The sequence below is a fragment of the Homo sapiens genome, chromosome 3 (genome assembly GCF_000001405.40).
Source record: "Homo sapiens chromosome 3, GRCh38.p14 Primary Assembly".
Lineage (NCBI taxonomy): Eukaryota > Metazoa > Chordata > Mammalia > Primates > Hominidae > Homo > Homo sapiens.
Window position 1 is genome coordinate 116279464 of NC_000003.12, and position 24277 is coordinate 116303740.

The 24277-nt window shown below is 36.9% G+C and overlaps 1 protein-coding gene across 4 annotated transcripts in view, besides 1 other annotated feature; it reads right to left on the reverse strand.

The window, feature by feature from the left end:
• Positions 1–24277, reverse strand: part of LSAMP (limbic system associated membrane protein) — a 643114-nt gene that overhangs the window by 477090 nt on the left and 141747 nt on the right. The gene's annotated exons all lie outside the window — the stretch shown is intronic.
• Positions 9166–9366: a silencer, noted in NCBI's record as "peak4776 fragment used in MPRA reporter construct". NCBI's record gives its function as "represses an SCP1 promoter by STARR-seq MPRAs in K562 erythroleukemia cells {active_cell/tissue: K562}" and the evidence as "EXISTENCE:reporter gene assay evidence [ECO:0000049][PMID:32103011]".

Sequence of the window (24277 nt, forward strand, 5' to 3'; positions counted from 1 at the left end):
AAAGCCAGGTGTAGAAGAGTAGGGAGCCTATTCTATCTACTCTCATGTGAAAGATTCTCTACACTGATTTTTGCTTGTGCTAGTCTCAAATATTGAAAAGTGGTACAAATTTTTCATATTTGGAAAATATGTGCTTGCCTAAAGAAACAATATTCTTGGTTATTATATTTTATTGCTTGTAATTATTGTAGACATAAAATTATGTTCAGTAATAATACTGTCACATGTAGATTGCTGACTGCTGAGTATATATTATCTGTATTGAATTTTGAAAATCTGTTTTCATATACAACATAAAAATGTCATTGAAAATGATAAGCATTTTCCCAAAATTCCAAAAGTTAATGATTATTGAACTCTGCTATAAATGATTTTCATATGTCATATGATAGATTAGCTGCACTTGCCCATTTTTTCAATGTCAACTGTTCTAGTAAATGTTAATAATACATTGAAAACATTTACTATTATTTAAGTTCAATACCAGTTAAGAAACAATCATTAAAAAATCCGAGTTGGGCCAAATATTATGTCTGTAATACAGGCATTTACATGGGATTATTCACACATAAAAAAATAAATACTGGTGGCTTTAATTACTGATGATGCTTGTAAACTTTTCACTCTGGTGTAACGTAAGAGAAAACAGAATCTGATCAGAAACATTTACACCATGAAGACAAAAAAATAGAAAGTACAGTAGTATTAAATCAATACATAACAACTTTTTAATCTTCACATATTTCACCGAAATCACATTAGTTCCCACCATGATAACTGAGTGAAGAAAGCATGGCATATATTTTCACTACAGAGATGAAGACATGGAGGTTCTGAGCAATGAAGCGTCTCAGGATCACATGACCCCTGAGCAGACCTGAAGAGACCTGAACTCAACTTCCTGAGCCTTAGTCCTCTGCTTTCTTTCTTGTATTAAACTGAGAAAGAGGGACATTTTCAAGGACTTGGCGACTGAGATTTTCAATTGATATGCACCACATTGCTCTCCTTCCCTAAAGCAGCTTGGCTGCGGGTCAGGATTCAATCAACTGAAAACAGACCCAGTATTGGCATCTATTTCTATGGTGCTGGCCAGGGAGTTTTTAAAATGCTGTGCTATTCGATGATACTTAGGGCCTGGGGTTTCTGAACAAACTTTCATAGACTTGGAAATAAACATCTTCTGAGAATGTGATTTACTTACAGGAGAGGGCAACTGACAGCATTTGCTAGGTGACTGGCTAATATCCAGGGGCTTCTCCTTCTTTCCAACAGTCGTGGTTCACTCTATCATGATTCTCAGTTTGTTCTTCTCTAGCCAGTGAAAGTGGCCATTCGGCACAAACTTAAGCAGTGGATTGCAAGTAACATGCTGCCTCTTACAGAAAGCCCAGAATAGTGTGATAGTTTTTTTCTGACATAACACCCATCTAATGAGTAAAAGAAATGATTCTATCCTCAATAAACTGGAAGACATTGAACACACAAATGAAAAAGGAGGAGAAAGAGAAAGAAAAGGGAAGGAAAGAAAAAGAATGGGAAGAGACAGGAAGGAAAGAGTGAAAGGAAAATAGATGCAAATGATAGAATAAAGGTGAAAGAAAAACCAGCAGTTGCAAACTTGGAAAAAATACAGGCATGAGAGCTAAGGGATTCCTGAAACAAAGGAAGACATGAAGTACAGAAAATTAGAACAGAAGATATTTGTGAAGGAGAATTTTGAGGGTGTTTGAAGAGGGGAAAAGAAGGACATTAAAGATGTATGGATGCCGAGGAATAGAGGCAGGGGAGGATAAGTTATATCTCCTTTGAAACTTTTGCCTTCTATTTTTCAAGTTTCACCTGGGCTGACATCTTGCTGTTTTCAAAGAGAAGTGCTTATTAGAAAAATTGGTGAGACAATCCTTAGTATACCTTCCTTTGCATTCATGACAATTACTCATTTTATAATTAGAAAGAATGACAGCTATCATAACTGATAAATGCAAACAGAGGAGCCATATTTCATCTTTACAACTGCCAGATTCAGACGTGGTAGTTAGAAGGTGCATTAAACCACCAACTGTGAAAATAAACATGATGACACCACCTTACAGAACTTAGTTGTGGGAACTAAGCATGACTATGAAAGCATGTTGTAATATAGAAGATACACAAATAATAAAATGCTATTACTATTATTACTTTCAGCACAAATACAAATCTAAGAGCCCATCTCTTCATGTTAAATAGATACTCTTAAATCAAAAGCCATTAGTTATCTTTTGAGAGGAATATGATTTCATTTAGAGTGTCACAGCATTCTGAAGCATATTACCCTCCTCCCCACATTTAAAGTTTCTGTGGCTGTTGGGTATTTCCCCACGTTGTCTATGACATATTTTAGTACTAACCAACAAATGTTAGTTACACTGACATCTTGAGAGGTACCAATCTGAAATGAAAACATCCATCTTCACATTAACAACTTTTTAATTAACCTTCTGACACTGTCAATAAGAAGTTTCACTGTTGTTGTGGAAAGGGATGCTATTTAAGTGATTACACATGTGCTGCTGCTTTGTTTATTTTCTATAAGAAAATCAAGATGCTCTTTAAAAACATCTTCACCTGTTACTAAAAGTGAGGGTAATTTTGGTAAACTTCCATGCTCGGAAAACAGACTGCGCTCATGCTGGGCAGGACTTCATTGAAATAGTGAGAGTTTGGTTTGATGTTACAAGGACAGAGGGAAAAATGCAGAGGAAAGGGGATAGCAGTGACTGTCAGAGTTGTTTGCCTTTGATTTCCCTCAACCCCAGTTTTGTAAGAGCAAGAATACCATGTAAATATCCAAAATATATCTTGGGGAGGCAGCCCCCTGGAAACAGCTTATAGTTTTAGGATTTGAAAAAAAAAATCTGTTCTTTTAACTAGTGGCACATAAATTCTTCATTAAAAGTAATTTAACTGACATCAGTCTGTCATTGTAACATTCTTTTTTTCTTAATATGTTCTTTTCTTTGAAGCATCTCCTTGTGAAACACGTAGTTGTGATATACCTTTCTTAAATGGCTTCAGTGTAGCAGTAATAGGAAACACATCTTCCATGTCCCTTACGTAGTCTCTATACATGGATGCCTCCAGTCTCTCAATCCCACATTTTCTGACATGTGGATTTTAACTATAAGCAGACAACAACGGAGCAACCACAGCAAAAAATGCTCTGGAATGTAACTAAGCTAAGGATGTTGTGATACATCTTTTTATCAAATAGAAGGTTTCCCATTAACTTAGGAATCCCAGTGATACTCCCCCCACCCCCCAAAAAAATGAGAGGCTCATAACCCATTTTACAGTTGACATTGAGACCTAAACAGAAGCTGATGTCTTTCTGCTAGGCAAGACAAACCTGAGGCAAATTCATGAAACTGCTGTGCTCCTTGTCAGTGTCCTTCTCAGGGCCTTACTCTCTCCCCTGTCTGTCTCCCAGCAAGGTGCTTCTTACCCTCATCCTGCTCTTGCCCACCCATGACCCTATCAAGATTCCATAACAAGTTGCCCTTCCTTGGCAGCTGGCCACCTTCTATAAGCATCTCCCTGCTCTCCCACCTATGACAGGAGGGTAGTACTAGCAGCTGTAACAGTAAGTAAGGTAAAACGTTTCCAGTTCTTCTTACTCTTCCTCCCTCCCCAAAGTCCCAATCCCAGAAAAATGATTTAGAAAAGTAAAGAAAGAGAGGAAAAAAAAAGTACCTAGAATTTCAGAAAAAAAAGAAGAAAGAAAGAAAGGAGGAAAAGTACCTATAACTCCAGAATTTTGAAGTACCTAGTTACGTGTTCATCGGTGCTATTTGAAGAAATATATGATACAATTATGAAGATAAAATAAACCATGACAAGTATACAGTTGTTGAGTGGGAAGAATGGGAGAGGGAAATAAGGAAAAGGCATCCCTTTTCCCTGACTGAATTACACTTTAGCATGAGATAGAGGAAAAAACTATTGACTAATATGGCTTGACAGTTTACTTTTCAATAAAGTCTAAGTTTTGTGCTTAAAGTTACCTTAGGGCTGACTTTTTCTTATCTAACCTCATCTGGCTACGTTACTTTAGGGCTAGCTTTGTATTATCTAAGACAGACCAGAAAATTCCTGGTCAAGGGCATAAGAGAATAATCCCAGTGAATAAATTTTAAAGAGATTCTGGGAATCAAAAAATAAAGATGGCTTATAATGAACCCTATGAATCTTGTGTTTTGTAAGAGCCAGATGGAGGTTGTGACGGTATGTGCCTAATGAAAATGGCACTTTCCTCCTCAGTCCTCCTTAGTTTTTATTTTTCTTCCAATTAAGATAGTCTCACCAGCCTGGGAAACATGGCAAAACCCCATTTCTACTAAAAATACAAAAATTAGCTGGGCATGGTGACATACACCTGTAATCCCAGCTACTTGGGAGGCTGAGGTAGAAGAATTGCTTGAACCCAGGAGGCGGAGGTTGCAGTGAGCCGAGGTTGCGCCACTGCACTCAAACCTGGGTGATAGAGTGAGACTCTGTCTCCCAAAAAAATAAATAAATAAAATTAAAAAATAGTCTCAACTTATTTCTTTGATATAAGTTTGTGATTGTTTTAATATGTGGTCAGGAGGAGAAGACCAGGATGCATGTAAAAAATATTTTCATAGTTTATGACTTCTAAAATTGAAGATGGTAAAGGTGATTAGGAGGCTGATGATTTTAGAGCCCCTCCACTAAGAGATCTATTGTTTCATGCCTGAAGTTGCTTACCTGTAAGTCATGTTCCCTCTTGTAGGGCAATTTACTACCTTGGTGTTTAAATTCAAAGTTCTATGCCAAAAAATAATGTTTTTAAAAATATATTAATCTCACACATCTATCATTATGAAACCAGTATAGTTTTGTGATTCTTTTTTAAAAATAATTTTTGTCTAGGAGATAATGTATACATTCTTTAGGCTTCAAAAGGACCTTGGAAGGCATGCAATTTGCTAGTAATGCATTTGCATGATTCTGGTTTAACAATTAACAATAAATTTCATCATCTCCAAGGCTACTATATCATAGAAGCTGTGGACCATTTCTCAGAAATGCAGCCTATCTTCTTTCTTCCCACCAGGTGAAATCTCTATGTTTCACCCTTAACTCCAAACCAAGGCATTTACACTTTTTGGTATTGATGGAAGGATAAACCCTGCATTTAATTCCTTGATGGCTGTCATCCTGCTGTATATAAGACAGCCCACCAGGAAATCACTTCTATCTCATGGGCTCTCAATCCAAAGAACACAAAGGATGGTTTCCAAACTTCAGAATCCTTCTAAAATGACCAATTCCATCTGAAATTCAACTACGTGATTTCTAAAAATGATCAAGTCCACAAGTTCATCCAGAATACCAAAGCATCTAGTTGTCTCTTCATCAGTGCTATTTGAAGAAATATAAAATATGACACAATTATGAAAAGAAAATATACAATGGCAAGTATATGTTCTAAGACATCTTTGCATTGTGGTGAAGTACCTTTGAGTAGTAAATGACTGAATGATGTTGCTACTTTCAAAGACAAATAACAGAAACAACAAAGAAAGCAAAGGTCTAAATCTCAAAGTCAAGACTGAAATCGTTGATCACTACGACTGGTTTGAAGCTTGAGTGTTAGGGCTGGCTCAGCTCCAAATTGGCTGAGTGGTTCTGAACTCCCTTCAACTTCCCCATCCCCATTTGCACCAGGTGATCTTTTAAAATGTAAATAATCCCATATCACTGTTCTGCAATGGCCTCCCGTCACTCATGGAATAAAATCACAACTTCTGATTGGCCTATGTCTCTACAGGAGGTGATCGAGACCTATCTTCAGGAACCCCATCTCCCACCAGACTCTGTCTCCCTTTTTCTCTTATAGATATATGGGTGAGTCTGCCAATCCTCAGGCAGCCCAAGCCTATCCATGCCAGGTAACCTTCGTAAATGTCATTTCTTCTCCCTGGAATGTTTTACCTCCAAACTTTTGCATGGCTCATTCCCTCTTCTTTCAGGACTCTGCTCTAATGTAACTGCTCCTGAGAAATGTGTATTTTTTTTTTTAAAGGATAGTTTCTAAAACATCTCCCATTCCTTGTGCTTTCATTTTCATCCCAGAATTTATATAGAAACAAGTGATGGTATTTGCTGTCTTTTCTCATTAGAATGTAAAAGTCATGAAAATAGTTACTTTGCTTCCAAACTGTGGCATTCCCTAGTGTCTAGAATCAGGCTAGGTGCATAGCAAGTGCTCATTAAATGTCAATGGAAAATAAAAAGAAATGCCTTCTTTTTTTTCCTTCCACTCCTCACCCCACTACACAAAACAGTTAGTTGTAAAACCCTTAAAAGGGAAAAGGCCTGTGCATTTGGTGTGTCTTAGGAATTTGGGAGACAGCGAAACTATGTGCCACTCCAGGGTAGTTTCATTGGGGAAGAGGCCTAGAAAGGATAGAGTTGTTTAAAAGAGAAAACAGGCTTCATCTCTAGAGCTTACAAAAAAGAGGACAAAGACTGTGGGGGAGCCAGTCTAGGTCTGAGACAAAACCCAGAGGACTTAACTGCAGAAAGCTTCCTGTGGTTCACAGTAGTCCTGGACTAACTAACTTTGAAATTCCAGGAGGAGAAGAGGGGCATTTGAGGCAATGTCCTTCCTATGTCCTAGGGAACAGGGAAGCTTTGCAATGCATATGGAATATACTCTGCAGCTCTGGCAGACATCCTGCCTTGGGAATGACTTTCTTGCTTAAGCCAAAGACCTTGAAATGGAGACCTCATGTGTAAATATGTGCAAATGTTGAACTAAATTTATCCCATAAAATTTTTAGGAAACAACCTTGCCATGGATACAAGCTGTTGAATACATTATCTGCTGGGGTTAACAGGGTTTCCTTCAGCAGAAATAAATAAATTAAGAGGAAGCACTGAAGGGTTGACTACTCCAGATTTGTCTTTAATAACATTCCATTAAAAATGATGGAAAGGCACAGCTCTCATAGCAATTCAGGCTCAGAGTGATGCTGTTCTCTTTCAGGCTCATGTCCTCAGATGAGGCTTCTATGGTTTTAATCACTTCTCTTCCTCTAACTCACCCTCCTCCAGCTTTTTATCCCTTTCATTTTTTGGTCTGTCTTTCCATCTATCTGACTACGGCTCATTTACCTTGATTAGCAGAGGAACTGGTATCACATTTTTCCACAAGAACTAGTGATTTTAAACTATTTAGATCAAAAGTTACACAAATCATCTGTACCATGCAAAAGCAGAGGTTTGTTATAAAAAATTATGTTTGGCATCTAGCAAATTTTTATCAGTAGAAGAGCCTACTATTAAATATTAATGTCATTAACTTTTTCTAGTTCTGCATTGCCTACCTCCCATACCATGTGTATTATCTCTCAAGTTAAAAAAAAAAAAAAAAGGTAACTAGGGCCTAAAAGGTCTATGGAAAGGACACTGCCATCACCAGCTGTGACTCCCTCATCCCTTTCTATCTATAACCATCTAGAGATAAAATGGAATATTCCTCTCCAGTCTCTCATTGCTTCCCTTGTAATAGCCACTTATGGATATAGCAAGAATTGGATGAAGTTGGTAGCGCTTTCTTGGAAGGTTTATATGTAATTTTTTTAAAGTTAACTGTTTAAGACTTGGTGATGTGTGTGTGTGTATCTCTGTATGTGTGTGTGTACATGTATATGGAGGATAGTGTGTCACATGCAGAGAGAGTCATAAATGCATGTTTGCAGCTAACATGTTGGCATGGTTTTGCATTATGGAGATCAGGTCAAAACTGCTTAGCACTCCTCTGTGATTTTCCCACCTATAGCTCTCACAATGTGACCCTATAATATGAGAAGACGCACTCCCAAGCATGAAGACTTAATTTGCAATCCACACAAATCCCTCTGTCCAAGTGGGTTGAGGGCATAATAATCAGGCTCTCATACAGTAATGATGAGCGTTTGTGCATTCGGAAGAGCAGCTGCCTGTAAAATGTTTATTCCTTTTTGTGTGTGTTAAATCTGGCTCTATCACTTACTACAGCTTGGTGGATTTAACATTTCCTAAGACAAAAAGGTAAAGAGTAAAATATTAAGAATTCTGAAAGCAAACTCCACTAGAAGAATAAACCTGAAAAAGATAAATGTAGAAAAGGAATGAAATGTTAAAATATTCTCTCCTTACCTAATGGAAAAAATAGAAACCAAAATAAATGGCCATTTATCTAACTTTACCAACCTCATCACCAGCATATCCCAAAGTCCCACCTCCAGTTTGATCATTTCATGCTCCAATCATTAACCTCACAATGCAGATTTCTCTGCCTGCTCTTATAGAGCTGTTAGTTTGCCCTCAACAAGAAGTGTTAATGGGCAGCCTCCCTGGCTAAGAACACTGCACAAGCCTCAGACTTTATGCAATTCCAAACCAGCTTGCTTAGACTCAGGAAGCATGATATTTCCTCTCCATTTCTAATAAATTTGACCTTGAAAGAGGACAGAGAGTGCTGCCTCTATAGAAGGGAGGCAAAAAGATTTAAAAAAAAGTAAGATACTATGACCATATCAAAGAAGGCAGGTATGTTTCTTTTCTTTGTTTTAGAGTGAAGGAGGTAGAGCCTATGATCCTGGTGTCTTCAGTGTTTTGTTTATATTAGATGGAACGAATAGGGAAAAGAGTAAGAAAAAAATGCAAACTAAGGCACATGGAGGTGGCACTCATGCTCTCTTTGGAGCAGAGGTAAACTACCCTTGAGCACCATCCCTGTCTTTCTGCCCATTCACATCTGCTGCTGCTTCTGTTTTCCTCTCTGAATGGATTCTCAAAGAAAAGACAGATGAGAGAAGGTATCGTTAATTGTGGGTAACACAGAACAGTTGTTAGAGAAATGGCAGAACTGCCATTTAGCCAGTGCCTGCTCCCCCATCATGACCATTACAAGCAATGGATTAAAATGTGTGTTCATTGCTTCACATATGGTTACTTTTACATTGTTGATTCTTCACTGGGGACCCATAGAGTGAAGATCGGTGAAACTTCTAATCTTCAAACTTTAAAAAGCTGATTTAAAACTTCATTCCATTTATGCTGTTCTCTCCCTCACAAAGTCAGAAGGTTTCCTGTGATGACGTCCCGAAAATACTGAGAGTTTCAATTTGCTAACTTCCCCAAACATGCGGTATCTACATTTTTTCCCAGCCACTTTGATCTCTTGAGTTTACAGCACAGCACTATTCATTTTCCTGGCATAGACAGTGAGAATTTCTTTTGCTACCAAACCAGCTGGTAGAATGTTTTTCATAAGGGGACCTCAAACAATAGCTGTACTCTTCCAAAACTGTCTTAGTATTTATTAAGTTATTTCAATACCAAAGAGAGACAAACAGTATGCCAGTTCATTTGAGAATAAATGAAGTTCAATTTTTTATAAATGTTTAAACCATTTCACACATAGTAAAACCAGATCTGTGCTTTCCCAGTTTTAAATTCCATGAGTTTATTAGATTGGCTTGTAAGGATTTATGTTACAATACAGTGCACACTTAGAGATGGAAACTGAATTCATAGAACCATGAGTTTTGTTTATTTATCATGTTTTATAAAATTTCATGAGAGAAACAATCAGTAGCATCTATAGCAATCAGAGAAAGCCTAACACAAAAGAAAACACACCAATTTATAAAAGAAAGGAGTAAATCAAGACTGGTATGTCTCTGAGATATAAATAAGCAGTTCTCAAAAACTGAAGGTAGGGACTTTCATTGTCAAACATTTGAAAACTGCTACACATTTTATTTTATTTTTTAGATATTCACAATGTACCATAACATATGAAAGGCTCTGAAAAGCCGTTTTCCTAAAACCTGTTTAATTTGCTTAATTTGTTTAAACAGCAATTTCTACCTGTATTTAACTTAGAACAAATTTTTTTTTCAAGAAAACAGAATATCCACTAACATTTACAGCATGCCTTAGTTTGTCATAACAAACTTAGAAAATGTTTGATTAGGTCAATGGCCAAATGGTGCTGCAAAGGCTGCTGAGGACCCACTGACTTTGCAATCAATTTCCCCTACCTTTCTACTCTGTTCCTTTTATATATGCCACTGCCTAACTAGAGGCCCAGAAAACCCTTCTATCTGACCTTTTGTAAAGTCAGAGTGCCTCGGTGGTAAGATCCTATAAGTGAAATACATCATTCAATAGTCACTTTGTGGCACATTTAAATGGAAATTTTAGTTCACTGTCCCAGCACAAACCTGCTTATTAAGTTTTTAATTATCAAATTGGCCATATTAAAAATTAACTCGATATGCTTATCAGTTTGCTACAAAGAAGAGAGTCACTCACGCTATCTTAGGAAAAGAGGATTTATTGTAAAGACATGTATAGCCTGAAGCTAAACCTGGATTAAAAAGCTATCACAGTACAAAGCAGCTGTATGAACTAGTTACTTGCCTCATCTCTTTTTCTCTTTGGATTTCCTCTATTTTCTCTTTTCATTAGTTGCTGGCTTATCCTCTTATATTTCCTAGCATAAATACCAGAAATGGCTACTCTGATTGATTAGTAAATCATTAATTACCCTATTGTGTAGAGCTTTTTGTATCAATCAATCTGATGAATTCTAGAATGGCACCTTTGAGTGGGTATACAACTCCCTCATTTAGTCAAAAAGATCTCTAATTCAAGTAGCCTATGGTGACTTTCAAGAAAAGGAATTGGAGTAGTAGCATTTTAGTTTATAGGAGACACTGTATGTGGTAGTTTCTTTCAATGTCATGTCCCTGCACACTGCCCCTTCTTACATTGACACAGGGAAAATATTAAATTTCACTCCTTATGTTGTAACACATTCAAAAACAAGTGGATATTAAAAATTGAAATCTGTAAGTTGAAGAATTCCCCCCCATCTTCCCCACTACATATGTAAAATTATCTAGACATAAAAGTACTTTTGGCTGGGCGCAGTGGCTCACGTCTGTAATCCCAGCACTTTGGGAGGCCGAGGCAGGCAGATCATGGGGTCAGGAGTTTGAGACCAGCCTGACCAACATGGTAAAACCCTATCTCTACTAAAAATACAAAAATTAGCCTGGTGTGGTGGCGTGTGCCTGTAATCCCAGCTACTCAGGAGGCTGAGGCAGGAGAATCCCTTGAACCTGCGAGGCGGAGGTTGCAGTGAGCCAAGATTGCACCATTTCACTCCAGCCTGGGTGACAGAGCGAGACTCTGTCTCACAAAAATAATAATAATAATAATAATAATAATAATAATAATAATAAAATAAACTTTCCTAGTTGATCTTTATGCCTCTAACTTATCCTTGATATAATCAATCAGCCCTATTGTCTGCTATTAAATTAATCAAATTAATAATGGTTAAGACAAGCCAATGTTCTCTTAAAAAATCTCCTGTATCTCTTCTTGCACACATGGTCCCATCCAAACTCTAAAATTTCACTGAAGATGCTTCATATTCTGACTCTGAACTACATCTCTAAGTTTATGCACCCCTTATGTCCAACAAGAAACTGTTAATCTTCGCAATGGTTGCAAAAGACACCAGTCAAATTATCATGTTTATGTCTTTTCTCAAGTCATTATCTGTACTGGGCTTGTTCCTCTTTGTCTCCTTACCCCAATCTAACCTACTTACTCCTTTGAATATATATGCTCCAACTTATAAATCTGTGCCTTTCTAATTAGAGTTCACATATATGGATAGGTGAATTGGAAACAAAATTGAAGAGAAGATAACAGTCAGCTTAGATTTTCTGGGAGTATAGCTAGGTCTTTGAGGACTCTGCCATATGGTTTGGCCATATGGGCAGACGATGTTGAATTTGACCAAAAGCACTGGCTTAGAAGTCATGAGATCTGGGCTCTAATCCCAGATATGCTACTAACAAACCATTTAACCTTGGGCAAGACGCTTAACCTCCGTGGGTTTCGGTATCTTCACCTGCAAAATAAGTGCTTTGGCCTAGATGATACTTGGAATGTTTTCAATTTCTCATATTCTATGAGACCAGGATAGATGTTTTGTTCTAATTATTAGTTGGCTTCAACTGGTTTGCTACAGATAACATTAGATTGGGAAATGACCTGAGTTAGAATAGGGGGTAGGGATCTATCTAAACTTTCACTTCAGATCTATAAGTGAGCTTTGATGGTTTCTTTCTTTCCTCCCATATGGCCCAGGTGTTTCTGATGCCCCATTGTAACTTCCCACACTCATCATGGCTTTAGATTGACTCTAAGGTACTTGAAACATTGGCAGTGACCCCCATTTGTAAAACAGACACATCCATTTTCAGGCCACACTTTAGAAGTTGCATAAACCTGAAGTTTTTCTGGAAAAATAATCCTTAATTCACACAAAGAAGTGCCCAGCAGAGCTCCTGTTTTTATAGAGAAATCTGCCAGGCAACAACTGTTTGGACTTTTGGTCTTTATCTCTTTTCTTATTCTCTTCTTCATTACTACAAATTTCCCAAGCTTTAAGATCACCACTCAGCAATCATCAACATAAAATGGTACCACTCGCAAAAGATGTACAAGAAACAGTATTTTTTCACCTGACTTTCAGAGCAGTGAGTTAATTTAAAATTTATCTTTGGTAATCTCCCCTACTTCTTTTATTTATTTCATTTCTGCAGTTTAGATGGAATGTACATTTTATAATTAAATACAAGTAGGAAATAATATCACACTGACAAGGCTCCTAATCTCCTCAATATATTAACAGTCCGTGCATCAAGTCAACTCATCTTTAATCCTGGGTCTCACTACGCAAAAGCAGCACATAAGAATGAAAAGAAGATGATTCCAGCCATAACTTCTCAAATGGTGATTTCAGGACAAAAACTGTGTGGAAATGATGTAAATAAATCATTAATAAATAAGGATAAATGACATTGTATAAATGTGTGCTGCCTATATCAGAGGGTTAGAAAAAATACCACTAGGAAACAGAAAATCAGGTCTCTAATCTGAACCCAGCCATTATTTAACTATAAAATCTTGAGCAAATGCACCCAGTGAATTTTCCAGGGTTGTCCTGAGAAATCAATAGGGCAAGGGGGACCATTGGAGTTTATAATTTGTGGCGGGCTTTACAAATGTACGATTTTGTTTATAGATCTTTTGTTCAACTCAGTGTACTTGATCTGGCCTCCTGACTGGTGATCCACAGTATCAAAATTAACACTAAAAAATGACTTCACAAATGATTTTGGTTCCCAGCCTCATTTGCCATGGAAGATAACTGAAGCTCGCAAGGTTAAATGGTTTGCTCACATAGTTTCTTTGTTGTCCTGAAAGTGTTCATTCAGAACACAGTGAACCTAAGGGCATGTAAGGGTAAAACTCAAAATAATATGAATGTGCAATAAACCAAAGACTATCCCATTAACCTTTTTTAGTCCATATCCTGTGGGAGGGTTACCTCTTGAAACCTGCTATGTCAGCCTTAACAAAAGGAAGCAGAAACTATTTCTTTCTCTATTTATTTCCTTTCCATGTCATGAATGAACACCAGCCCAAAGAGGTTCATTTTAACACCTTCACCCTATCATATGTACCATAATTTTCTTCAGAATGCTCATGTTTGGCTTTTTTCCCTGTGAGATAAGAACATCTCTTTTGGATGTCCAATGTTACTGGTTCTGCTACCAAGGTGATTTCTATTTCAAAGGTCTTGATCCTCAGTACTAGATCCATATTGTATTCACACCAGGGAACTTTACCAAGGATGTATCTGATATCCATATAAGGATATCCCTTCATTTTAAATTCTAATGGTGGGCATCAGTTGTCCTGAAGATTGCCCTGAAACCTAAAAACTTTGCAAATTATGAAGGGCTATACAAAGGTAGAATAATAATGTTTTATTTTCTATTTTCATTAAATACTTTTTTTTAAAGGTGAGAAACAAAGTAGAGAGACAGGCAGAAATCCCAACTGTTCTTAACTTACAAGATGGGGGTTAAGAAATACTGTATATGGTTCATAGAACAAAAAAATGGAGGATTGAATTTAGTCGCAGACAGTTCATACAGAGGTGACTAGTGAAATAATTGAGATGAGATTTATTATCATATTGAGTTAGGAAAATGAGGGCATAGTTTGAATAAGCAAAGTTGTTATCTATTATAACATGAAATCAATAGATATTATCTAAAGTTAATAAATATATAGGCATCAGCATAAGCACTATAGTGAGATATATGGAGTTATTCAGCATAATAATTAAACCAGAACTGAAACTGTTAAAAGTGGGAAGTAAGATTCCGAGTTGGGGGTAAGGCAGGAATTGTTCTATACTTTGACGGTTTTAGTTATATGCATGTATTATTTTGAATGCACAAATAAACACTAAAAAATGTACTCTTTTCTCTCTCAGGTGACATGCAACATAATGATACACTATACATATATACTATATGTATATACTATATACTACATGTATGAGGACAGCTATGTGTCCTCAGTATGTATTAGTCATTTACTTCATTGGTTGTTTGATTCTCTAGCTGAAAGGATGAATAAATGAATAATTGAATACATGATAGAATGTGTAATAATGATGATGATCATCATCACTTTCAATCTGCACCTCCCACACACACGCCCCTACTACCACCAGGGTGTAAAAAAGCCAGACCCATAGGTAGCTGGGGTACAACTACTTGACATTGAACACTGGCACCAATCAGTCCACTCAGTGGATTATTCACATGAAGATTGTCAACTATTAATGGTTGAATTTCATAAAATAGGCTGGAAGGACAATGTTTGGAAAATAATATTTCTATGCAATTTGGGGTCTTGATTTTACTACAATTATTCCAAATGTTGACTGCTGAGTCTTACTACAGTTTACTAAAGGATTTGAATGTTCTAGGATTCAGAAATAAGAACAATAATCACCTCTATTTCAGAAAAGTCATTTTATAAAAAATGAATAAAAGCATATGAAAATCAATCTGAAATAAAAAGAAATCCTTTAACAGACTCTTATAATAAAGAACAAAGATTTTTTTTGGTTACCATAGCAGCAGTGATTTTTAAATACTATTCATACAAATTTCAGCATTATAGTAATCAGTGTTTCCTATTGTGCCTCAAAATATTAAAAGTAACACACAACGTTACAAGCTTAGATCGCCATTTAAATTTAAATATTAAGAAATGTTATGAAGCTAAAATTAATTTATATATTCTGTGGATAATATTTGATGTGGGATATTTATTATAGAAGCAGCCATTTCACCATTAACATGAAATAACATAGGTAACCTGCACTTAACTTTCAAACCTGCTGTGATTAGGCATGGGGAATAGTGAAGGAGGGTGACAGAGTGTGTAAAATTCAATTTGTCACCAACTGAACTTACAGCATTTATACTGACTGCAAGCCAGACCAGAGGAGTTATAGCAACTGCATAGTTCTTACAATCTTTTCCCAAAGTTCAATTAAAACTCATCGTCAAGAGAGCAGGAAATAAAAAACTAATAGAACTGACTTTATCTTTTGGCTTTAGGGGGTATAAGAATGCCCCTGTATGGAACACAAAAGATTGATGAAATACTAAAAGAAAGAAAATGATAAAATAGGACATGAAAATCATATCTTTATAGTTGAGAGAAAAAGAAAAAGTAGCCAGAATTGGCATTGTGTATTTACCCTACTCGAGGGGGAATCATACATCTGGCCAAGGCTAAAGGAATTTTTAAATTCTGAATAAAAGTAAGGATGAGGGGAGCCTCTTTTTGCTGATTTCTATTTTCTATCTGCAAGAACTTCCAGTACAATGATACCTTGGCCTTATGACTCTCCAAGATTGAGTTATTTCAATATCGGGTGACATTCGTGGATCCACATTTCCTGACTGGCTGGAACTAATCTATTTAAAATTTGCTAGCTATAGGAATTTATTTTTTCCTCATCTTGAACAGCATAAAGCTATAATTCTAGGTAAGTGTACACATTCTATAGATTTAAACTTTCTATTATGTGGTCAGTCCCAAGGTCTAGTCACCAGGAACAGAGGGAATTGGAGGGAGATAGAAGGGACAGAAAGTGTTAGCATGTCCTTCTAGTCACAGTTCTATAGCTCCATTCTTTAGTTGGCATTATTGCTAATACTAAAATCACCATCTCATATCAGAAGAGACAGAGGAGATATCTGTCTTTGTGTCTTGTGTCTTAATTGAATTAGAATTTAGAAGGGGAACAAAAAGGTATTATGTATTGACCCTCCAAGTCCCAAAAAGGAAGCTTCTATGACTATTTTGTTATGTAAATAGATGCATAAATGAGATACCCTGTGAGAAAACATACATAATAAACTCCCACAGTTCAGACTTCAGATTAAGAAGGGGACTAGAGTGTTATTTGTGCCTTTAGAATAGTACATTAGGAAATTTATGTACTTGCTTGTATAAATTTGGATGAGACATTAAAATCTAGGTTATAATAAAACACTCATTCCCGCTAAGTTTAAAAGTCCATGTCTGTGTGTGCTGGAAGAGCTGAAACACTGTGAATATGAATACGGTCACCATAACCAATTCATAGATGGAAAAATCAAATCAATTGCTAGAGCCTGAAATGAACAGCTATTGTCGTAGCTCTCTACTCTCTTAGCTAATTCCGTCCCAGTCTTTGAAACTTTGAGTGTAAAGAAGACTTTCTTCTTAGCTGTATTGAACAGGACAAAGCTGCTACATTTTCTGGATTATTTAAACCCCAAAGGCTTTATTTTACTGTAAAAATATTCTGCAAACAACCCCCACTGAAAGGGATTTGGTTAAGAGCAGCCCAGAACTATACTGTTTGACCACAGCAATATTTGCTTTGTTCAAGCAAGGGAGTGTCCAACAGGGTTCTTCAGGTGTCAGGCTTACACAGAACAATGATTTATCTTTAAGAAACCCATATTGGGAGGCCGAGGCAGGCGGATCACCAGGTCAGGAGACAGAGACCACCCTGGCTAACACGGTGAAACCCCGTCTCTACTAAAAAAATACAAAAAATTAGCCGGGCATGGTGGTGGGTGCCGTGGCGGGCGCCCGTAGTCCCAGCTACTCGGGAGGCTGAGGCCAGAGAATGGCGTTAACCCGGGAGGCAGAGCTTGCAGTGAGCCCAGATTGCGCCACTGCACGCCAGCCTGGGCGACAGAGCGTGACTCTGTCTCAAAAAAAAAAAAAAAAAAAAAAAAAAAAAGAAACCCATAAAGGTCTACTGAGGCTCTACTCCTATGGGTAATACATTATACCCAGAATTGTGGGAAATTCAAAGTTGAAGGCATAACCCTTACGCCATGGAGGACCTTGGAATCTGCAACCATGAAAGAACATGGAAAAATAGTCCAAATTTGTTATTACATAAACAAGAAGGCAGTCCTGTGGAACTTAAATGACAAGCCCCAGATCATAGTTTTAGGGGCTGATCTAAATTAAAAACAACATGTTCTGAATGTCCTCATAGGATTCTTTTCCTCGTATCTCTTGCCTATCTTTGAAGAAGTAAAAAGTATGGAAAGAAATATGTCAGGATTCTGAGCATCAAGGACTGTGCTTCTTAATTTTCTATGGAGTCTACAAACAAAACAAAATGTTGTGACTAGGTTTCTTGTGGATCCCAGTGAAGGGAATGAATCCTGTATTTAAATTGAAAACAGGTGAAAGAGAGATTGGCTATATAGATAGAAGATGTAGAGGTGAAGAAAACTAAGAAAATAAATCCATGGGAATTATTAATAATCTTCAAAAGGGGTCACTGAAATCTTGGAGAGACCATTGAACTTTTCCAGGATTGGATATTATTGGGGTGGTCAAAGAAATTCACCCTAGATAACAAAGGATAGTGAGATCCCTAGCTGACATCAGAGGTATGACATCACCTTGTCTTCTAAAGAAAATACTGTATGATTATTTAAAAACATAAACTTTCTTTGATACATGAAACCTTTATGTTATCCCTTTGGAAACAAAATGACATTTTTTCTTGTACAGGTGATAATATATGATACCATATTTTCTATTGACTTGACATACTGTACCTAAAATTTAAATGCCAAGTTTGGGGTTGAATATATACCATCCTACATTTCAATCCATTTACCTTATTTTTGTCAGTCTTATCCTGGAAATGTCTTTCTGGATAGACTGAGAAAAACAAAACAAAACATGGGGTGATTTGAAGACACTAAAAAATTGATAAAAGTCAACTAACTTTTCTGTACATTGGTTTATTTGTATGTAATAAAAATAAAATAGGTGAAAATTATTTTTTAGGAAATAAATATTCATCCTTTGCACTTATAGGATGAGTGAAAAAACACAGTATTTTAGTTTTGCTCATGTTTTCTAATTTTATCTTCATTATATTTCTTCAGTGATACCCTGTTGACCAACACCCTTTCTCCTCTTCCAGAATCCACTAATTCTGTAGTCATACCAGCTTTCCTGCTTCTTGGCTCTATCTCCTTTATCTTCCTTATGCATGGCATCTCTGGCAGCCAAATAATCTTCCAAAAGGCATGCTTCTTCAACAATTCCTCAACGTATGTTCTGTTTCTCTTTATCATTCATCTAGGTGTCTGTCTATCTATCTATAAATCCATCTAGCTATCCATTGTGCTTTTGTTGCAGACACAGATACCTAAAATATAATACAACAATTGACTTACTCTCTCTTGGAAGCTAAAGAAACCTTCTGTCTAATTCTTCTCTTCTGGTTCCAACAGAAATCCCTGCAGAGCCACGGACAGAAGGGAGAGACCCTCCTTCTGTTTCCCTCTCTAGTTTTCTGCCCAAAATCATGCCCAGTTTTAGCAAGTAAATCATGGACTTAAAACCAGCAGCTTTATATTTGCTGGCTCCACATGTCTGAATGCATTTGAGAGATGTATGTGTTCAGAAGGGGGAAAAAAAAAACTGGGAGTTAGGAGGCTTTTCTCTGATTTCTGGAGTTTGCTGGAGAAGGGGAGGAGGAGGAGAAAGCACAGAGATACCAAGGATCTTGGACAATATTGTTCAGTAGAAAATGTATTTCTGTGGTCTCTTATCAATCTATAAAGATGTAGTCATTAATCTGTGACATAGGGAGAAAAATAGCTCCATAGAATTGTTTCCTTATCTATCAAAGTATGTTATATATGTTTTGAGAACTAATTTCAAGGCACAGTTTCACTTTATTTTCTATTCTTTTTCTTGTTGGAGACAGAAATAATTTTCAAGTTGGGCTTAATTAAGCACTTACAATTTTTGAATTCACACGAGCCTATCTAGAGATACTGGTTTATTTCCCGTTATATTTAGAGTTTCTGCTTCTGTGCCAGGTCCTTATAGCAAGCAGAAGGAACAGACACAATCTATCTTTGTAGAGGTTTTCAAAATTGAGCAATGTATACCCTTACATGTGGGTATTTGCCAAACACTTAAGGACTTATGAAGAAAGGGGTGTGGGGAGTGGGAAAGAGAATGGAACCAAAATTTTAAAAAAGATATATTTTTGGCCAGCAGAAATGATAGAGTAACATAGCCTTATGCAAATGTCTCAGAGCACAGAGTCTTTTTAAGCAATGAGCTGAAAGTTGTTTTTTGTCTTCACCATTTAAGTATTCTGCCCTTTCAATGTCCCTAGACAATGACCACCCACAAGACCTTGAACTGGGGAATTGGGAGAAGTAGAAACGACATGACTGAATTCTTCCAAAACAGCTGTGGGTAGGAGAAGGATTACTATTGACATGCTAAAAGGTCACTGATGTATAATCTGAGACAGGTAGAGCCTAAAGGAGACAGAGTCTCACGTACTGGAAACAGGATTGATGGAGAGTAAATTCTTAGCAAATATTACGAAAACACTGTCAAAAGATTCTGCAGAACCACACGAACATGGTCACTCTTTCAATATCCACTGACTGACTGAGAAAGTACACAATGACAAAAAGTCACTATGCCTTCAGAAATACTTTTAATTAATCTGAATTGTGCTCATTGTAAAATGTACTTACACTGAGAATAATAGCAATACAAATATAAATTAGGCTTGCTCTTTATTCTACGTACAGAAGTTTCTGGGTATATAGATGGTTTCGAGACTCTGAAATATTTATCTGGCTCTCCAGGTTTCAGAATCACTGGACCATTAGACCACATCAGCACTGGACCCAGCTAAAGGGCAGAGATTCAGAGATCCCCAACTGTGACTAGTTGTGCAAGAAGCATGCAGAATGATGAGAAACCTACAGCTCAGAAAAGAAACAAATCGTCTATATGGAAGTCCAGTCTTGCTGTGGAAAGGCTCAGAAAAACAAGACCCTTAGCATATCTCAGGGAACTGAAAGGCTGTGGGGAAACCAACAGCTTGCTGCAACCACAGCCACAAGTCAGGTAAGCATTGAGCCTGACAGCTCAGGAAAATGACCCACTTCTTGCCAACTCAGACAAAAAGGCTTCACTTAGGCCTAGGGAAACTGTCTCTAATAAGGCCATCTGTTAACCGTGTCGCCTGAGTCCCTCTCAGCAATTCCTCATTCCCTCCCTTTCCACCTTCCACCCTGAAGCCAGACATTAAGGCAGCAGAGACTGAGTAAAATCAAGCTGTTGGGCTCAGTAAACATTACTGAGCTCCATGAGGGAACACGGTCCCATTTTTTAGGTTCCCATGTCCAAGGCACATTTTGATCACATTCATTTAGCAGAGAGGTGAAGGAAGAAAGCATGCTGGCTGTGCAGCAGCATCGTGCTGCATCCCCTTGCTTAGGCAAAGTCATAACAGACAGCAAAAAATAAGAACTTGGCTACAGTTCCCAAGGGTTTGAACCTGAATACACAGAACACGAGAAACCACACAACTCAGGAAGAAAGCACTGGGCAAGTGTTCAGAGGCCTTATTGACAATGGGCCCGCTCTCCTATTGACTTGATTTGTAACACATAAAGTCACTTAAATCAGGGGTCCCCAGCCCCATACTGGTCTGTGCCCTGTTAGGAACCCAGCTGCACAGCAGGAGGTAAGGGGCAGGCCTGAGCTCCACCTCCTGTCAGATCAGCAGCAGCATTAGATCCTCATAGGAGCGTGAACCCTTTTGTGAACTGCGCATATGAAGGATCTAGGTTGCATGCTTCTTATGAGAATCTAACTAATACCTGATGATCTGAGACTCTAACTAATACTTGATGATCTGAAGTTTCATCCCAAAACCACTCCCCCTACCCCAGTTTGTGGAAAAATCGCCTTCTATGAAACCAGCCCCTGGTGCCAAAAAGTTTGGGGATGGCTGACTTAAACTTCTAGCAATGATCTGTCAAGTCTCTTCATCTCATCACATAAGTCGGCATGTAATATTCACAAAAGACCAATCCAACCTCTGAAAACGAAATGCTCATTTTGGGGAAGTGACTTAACTCTTCCAGCTCATCTCTGTCCCTCTTAATAAAAAAGGAAAAATAAAAATAAATATAATAAATATTATTTTTAATACGTGGTTATTCAGTCTCAGAATATTATTGTACCTTAAAATGAAAAAAGCTAATATATTGAGTATCTTTTTCACATACTTTGGGAATTAAAATAACATCTTTAATATTTGGAAATGAAAGGGAAGAAAGAAAATTTGATATCAACTATAACCAGGATCATTTTAGTGTAAATATGTCAATGGAAATGAAAATCCAAAAATAGAAATATGCAATAAAAAGCTACACCCGTATGTCTCACCTAAAGTATTTTACCAAGGCTGAAGAGTAGATCATTAAATTACTTGTAGGCTACAGCTGAAAATATGACCCTCTGACAACCAAACTTATTGTTAATACAACTGACACTGAATTTAGGAGAAAGATTAATTCAACCCTCTGTACCTGACATCCAAAAAGCAAACAAACAAAAATAAATAAAACAAAATCAATAATGAAGACTTAGAACACTTATAATCAAGGAAGATGATAGAAGATTGTAGCAATAACATGTTTTAATGTTCTTTATCTGAAAAACAGGTAGACTGTTTGCTGATTTCCAAGACTATACATCTTTCCCAAAACGGTTTCTTGAGAAAGCTGTCCACCCTGAAGGGAGTAGGAGATATTTTCAATAATGGCCTAAAATTTATGCATTTCATTGGATTGAGTCACTGGAGATATAACTGGGCCCCATTTCTCATGCATATATTCATGGTAAAATGTACTCCTGCCAAACCATGGGAAATTAAGGCTTCAGAAGGTGAATAAAGAAACTTAGAATACAAGTATAAAATTATGAGTTTAAAACTTATAAAGATAATAGTTTTTTTCTATAGATAGAGCAAGCAAGATATTTTCTTGACACAAATCTATCATGACAGAACTGGCAATCTAATCTTAATCGCTCCTCCCAGTGAAAGAGTAAACAAAAATGGTTGATTGCAGCTGTGTGGACGTGGTAAAAATTCACCCACATTTCCATCACCCAGAGCAGCTCTGCTAGGCAAGAATAGGTACACACTCTAGCTCAGGTCCTTTTTTGTAACAGACACTGCTCAATGGCTCCAAATATTAAATCAATACTCATTTACTGTAGAGACCATGGCAATCTGTCAAGAAGGAAGAAGCTGTTCTGAAATGAAGGCACTGATAATTGTGACCCAATAATGCAATAGAAAAGATCCACTTGTTATGGTAATCACCAGTGGCATTCTAAATAATGTGTTCAGTTTATTTATTGCAGTACATTTTCAGAGAATGTTGCTTTCCAAGTAAGCATGCCTGGGGTGGCTCTAGGCAAAATTGTATATAAGTAACTAACTTTTTTCCCCCATGACTCACTGTCGCTCTGTAAATATGCTCATTTTACCTGTTTCTCTTTTCATTCCCTAGTTCTCAGCCTTCATCTTTCTAAGCCCATAAATTGTTGTTTTTCCAACAGTTACTTAGAACGGTAATCACCTCTAAAAACTCCACCCCCTATGACACAATTTATAGAAAGACCTCCATTCTGCTAACTTTCTAAAACAGGAAGAACAGCACATCAATGATTAATGCATTGTCTGACACATAGGAGGTAGTTCATAACTTTTTGTAGACTGTTGTTGAATAAATACCTTTCACTAGAAATATGAGTCGTATTTGATTTAGTCCAGATGGCTATGGTGTTTTATCACGTGTTTGCTTTAGTAAAACATAACAGTCATTCAAAGTTACAGATCTGTTTTCTTTGAAAACCATTCTCCTATAATGGCATTTGTGCATGGAACACAGTAGAAGACAAATAACATGATGTGATTTCAAAAAAATATTGGGATGGATGATGGTTGGATGGACAGCTGATATCACTCAGGGTGAAAGCTGACATTTTAGTAGCACTGATCTCCCAATGATTCCATTAGGATATACAAAATAGGAAGGACTAGCCTGTAAGTTAGTCATATACATTTTTGTCAGCCTATAAAATAAATATATCCCTTTTCAAAAACAGAGAATCTATAATTTTAAACTACTTTGACATTTGCCATCAGTGATTCTAAGTTCTAAATTACACATATCCTGAGTATTTTTATTTTAATTAATTTTTTTTTGAACTATGAAATTAATGTGCACCCATGAATGCCAAAAAAATGAAATAGCAAGAGAGGGCTTCTCAATCTCAGGCAAAGGCCTGGCTTCATCAGCAAAGAGGGTAAATAGTAACCGAAATGTCAAGTTGTCTCTGGCTTAAATTAAGCAAACAACAGAAGTCTTTCTTACTTCCTATAGAAGATATTTGGGAGAAATAAAGATTTTTTTTAGAAAATTGCCATACACCATTAGAGTTTAGAAGTGAAATTAAAGATGAACATCATTTTGCTTACTTCGGATTGTAAACATTGAAGAAGTAGACTTTAAAAGGACTGGCTAACTTGGTGCCAAATAATTGAATGTGTGGCTATGAATACAGAAATGTTGGCATATAGGCATTACATAAGTAATCTCAAATAATTTTTTTCTATTCTTTTTTTGGATTGAAATTCAGTGTCTAGTATCTCTGAGATGAAAACAAATAAAGCTAGAGAAAAATGCTATTTTGACTCTCCTTGAATTTGAAGAGCACTGAGTTATTCCACACTGGTAAAAACTATGTCAACAGATATTCACCAACATCTCAGTGATTTAGGGCATCTTCATGATCTGAACATGGCCCAGAGTAAGTGCTTGTGAAGTGTACAGAGAGGTTAATCAAAAATGTTACAGTCACTAACCCTGCGAGCGAATAATCAGTA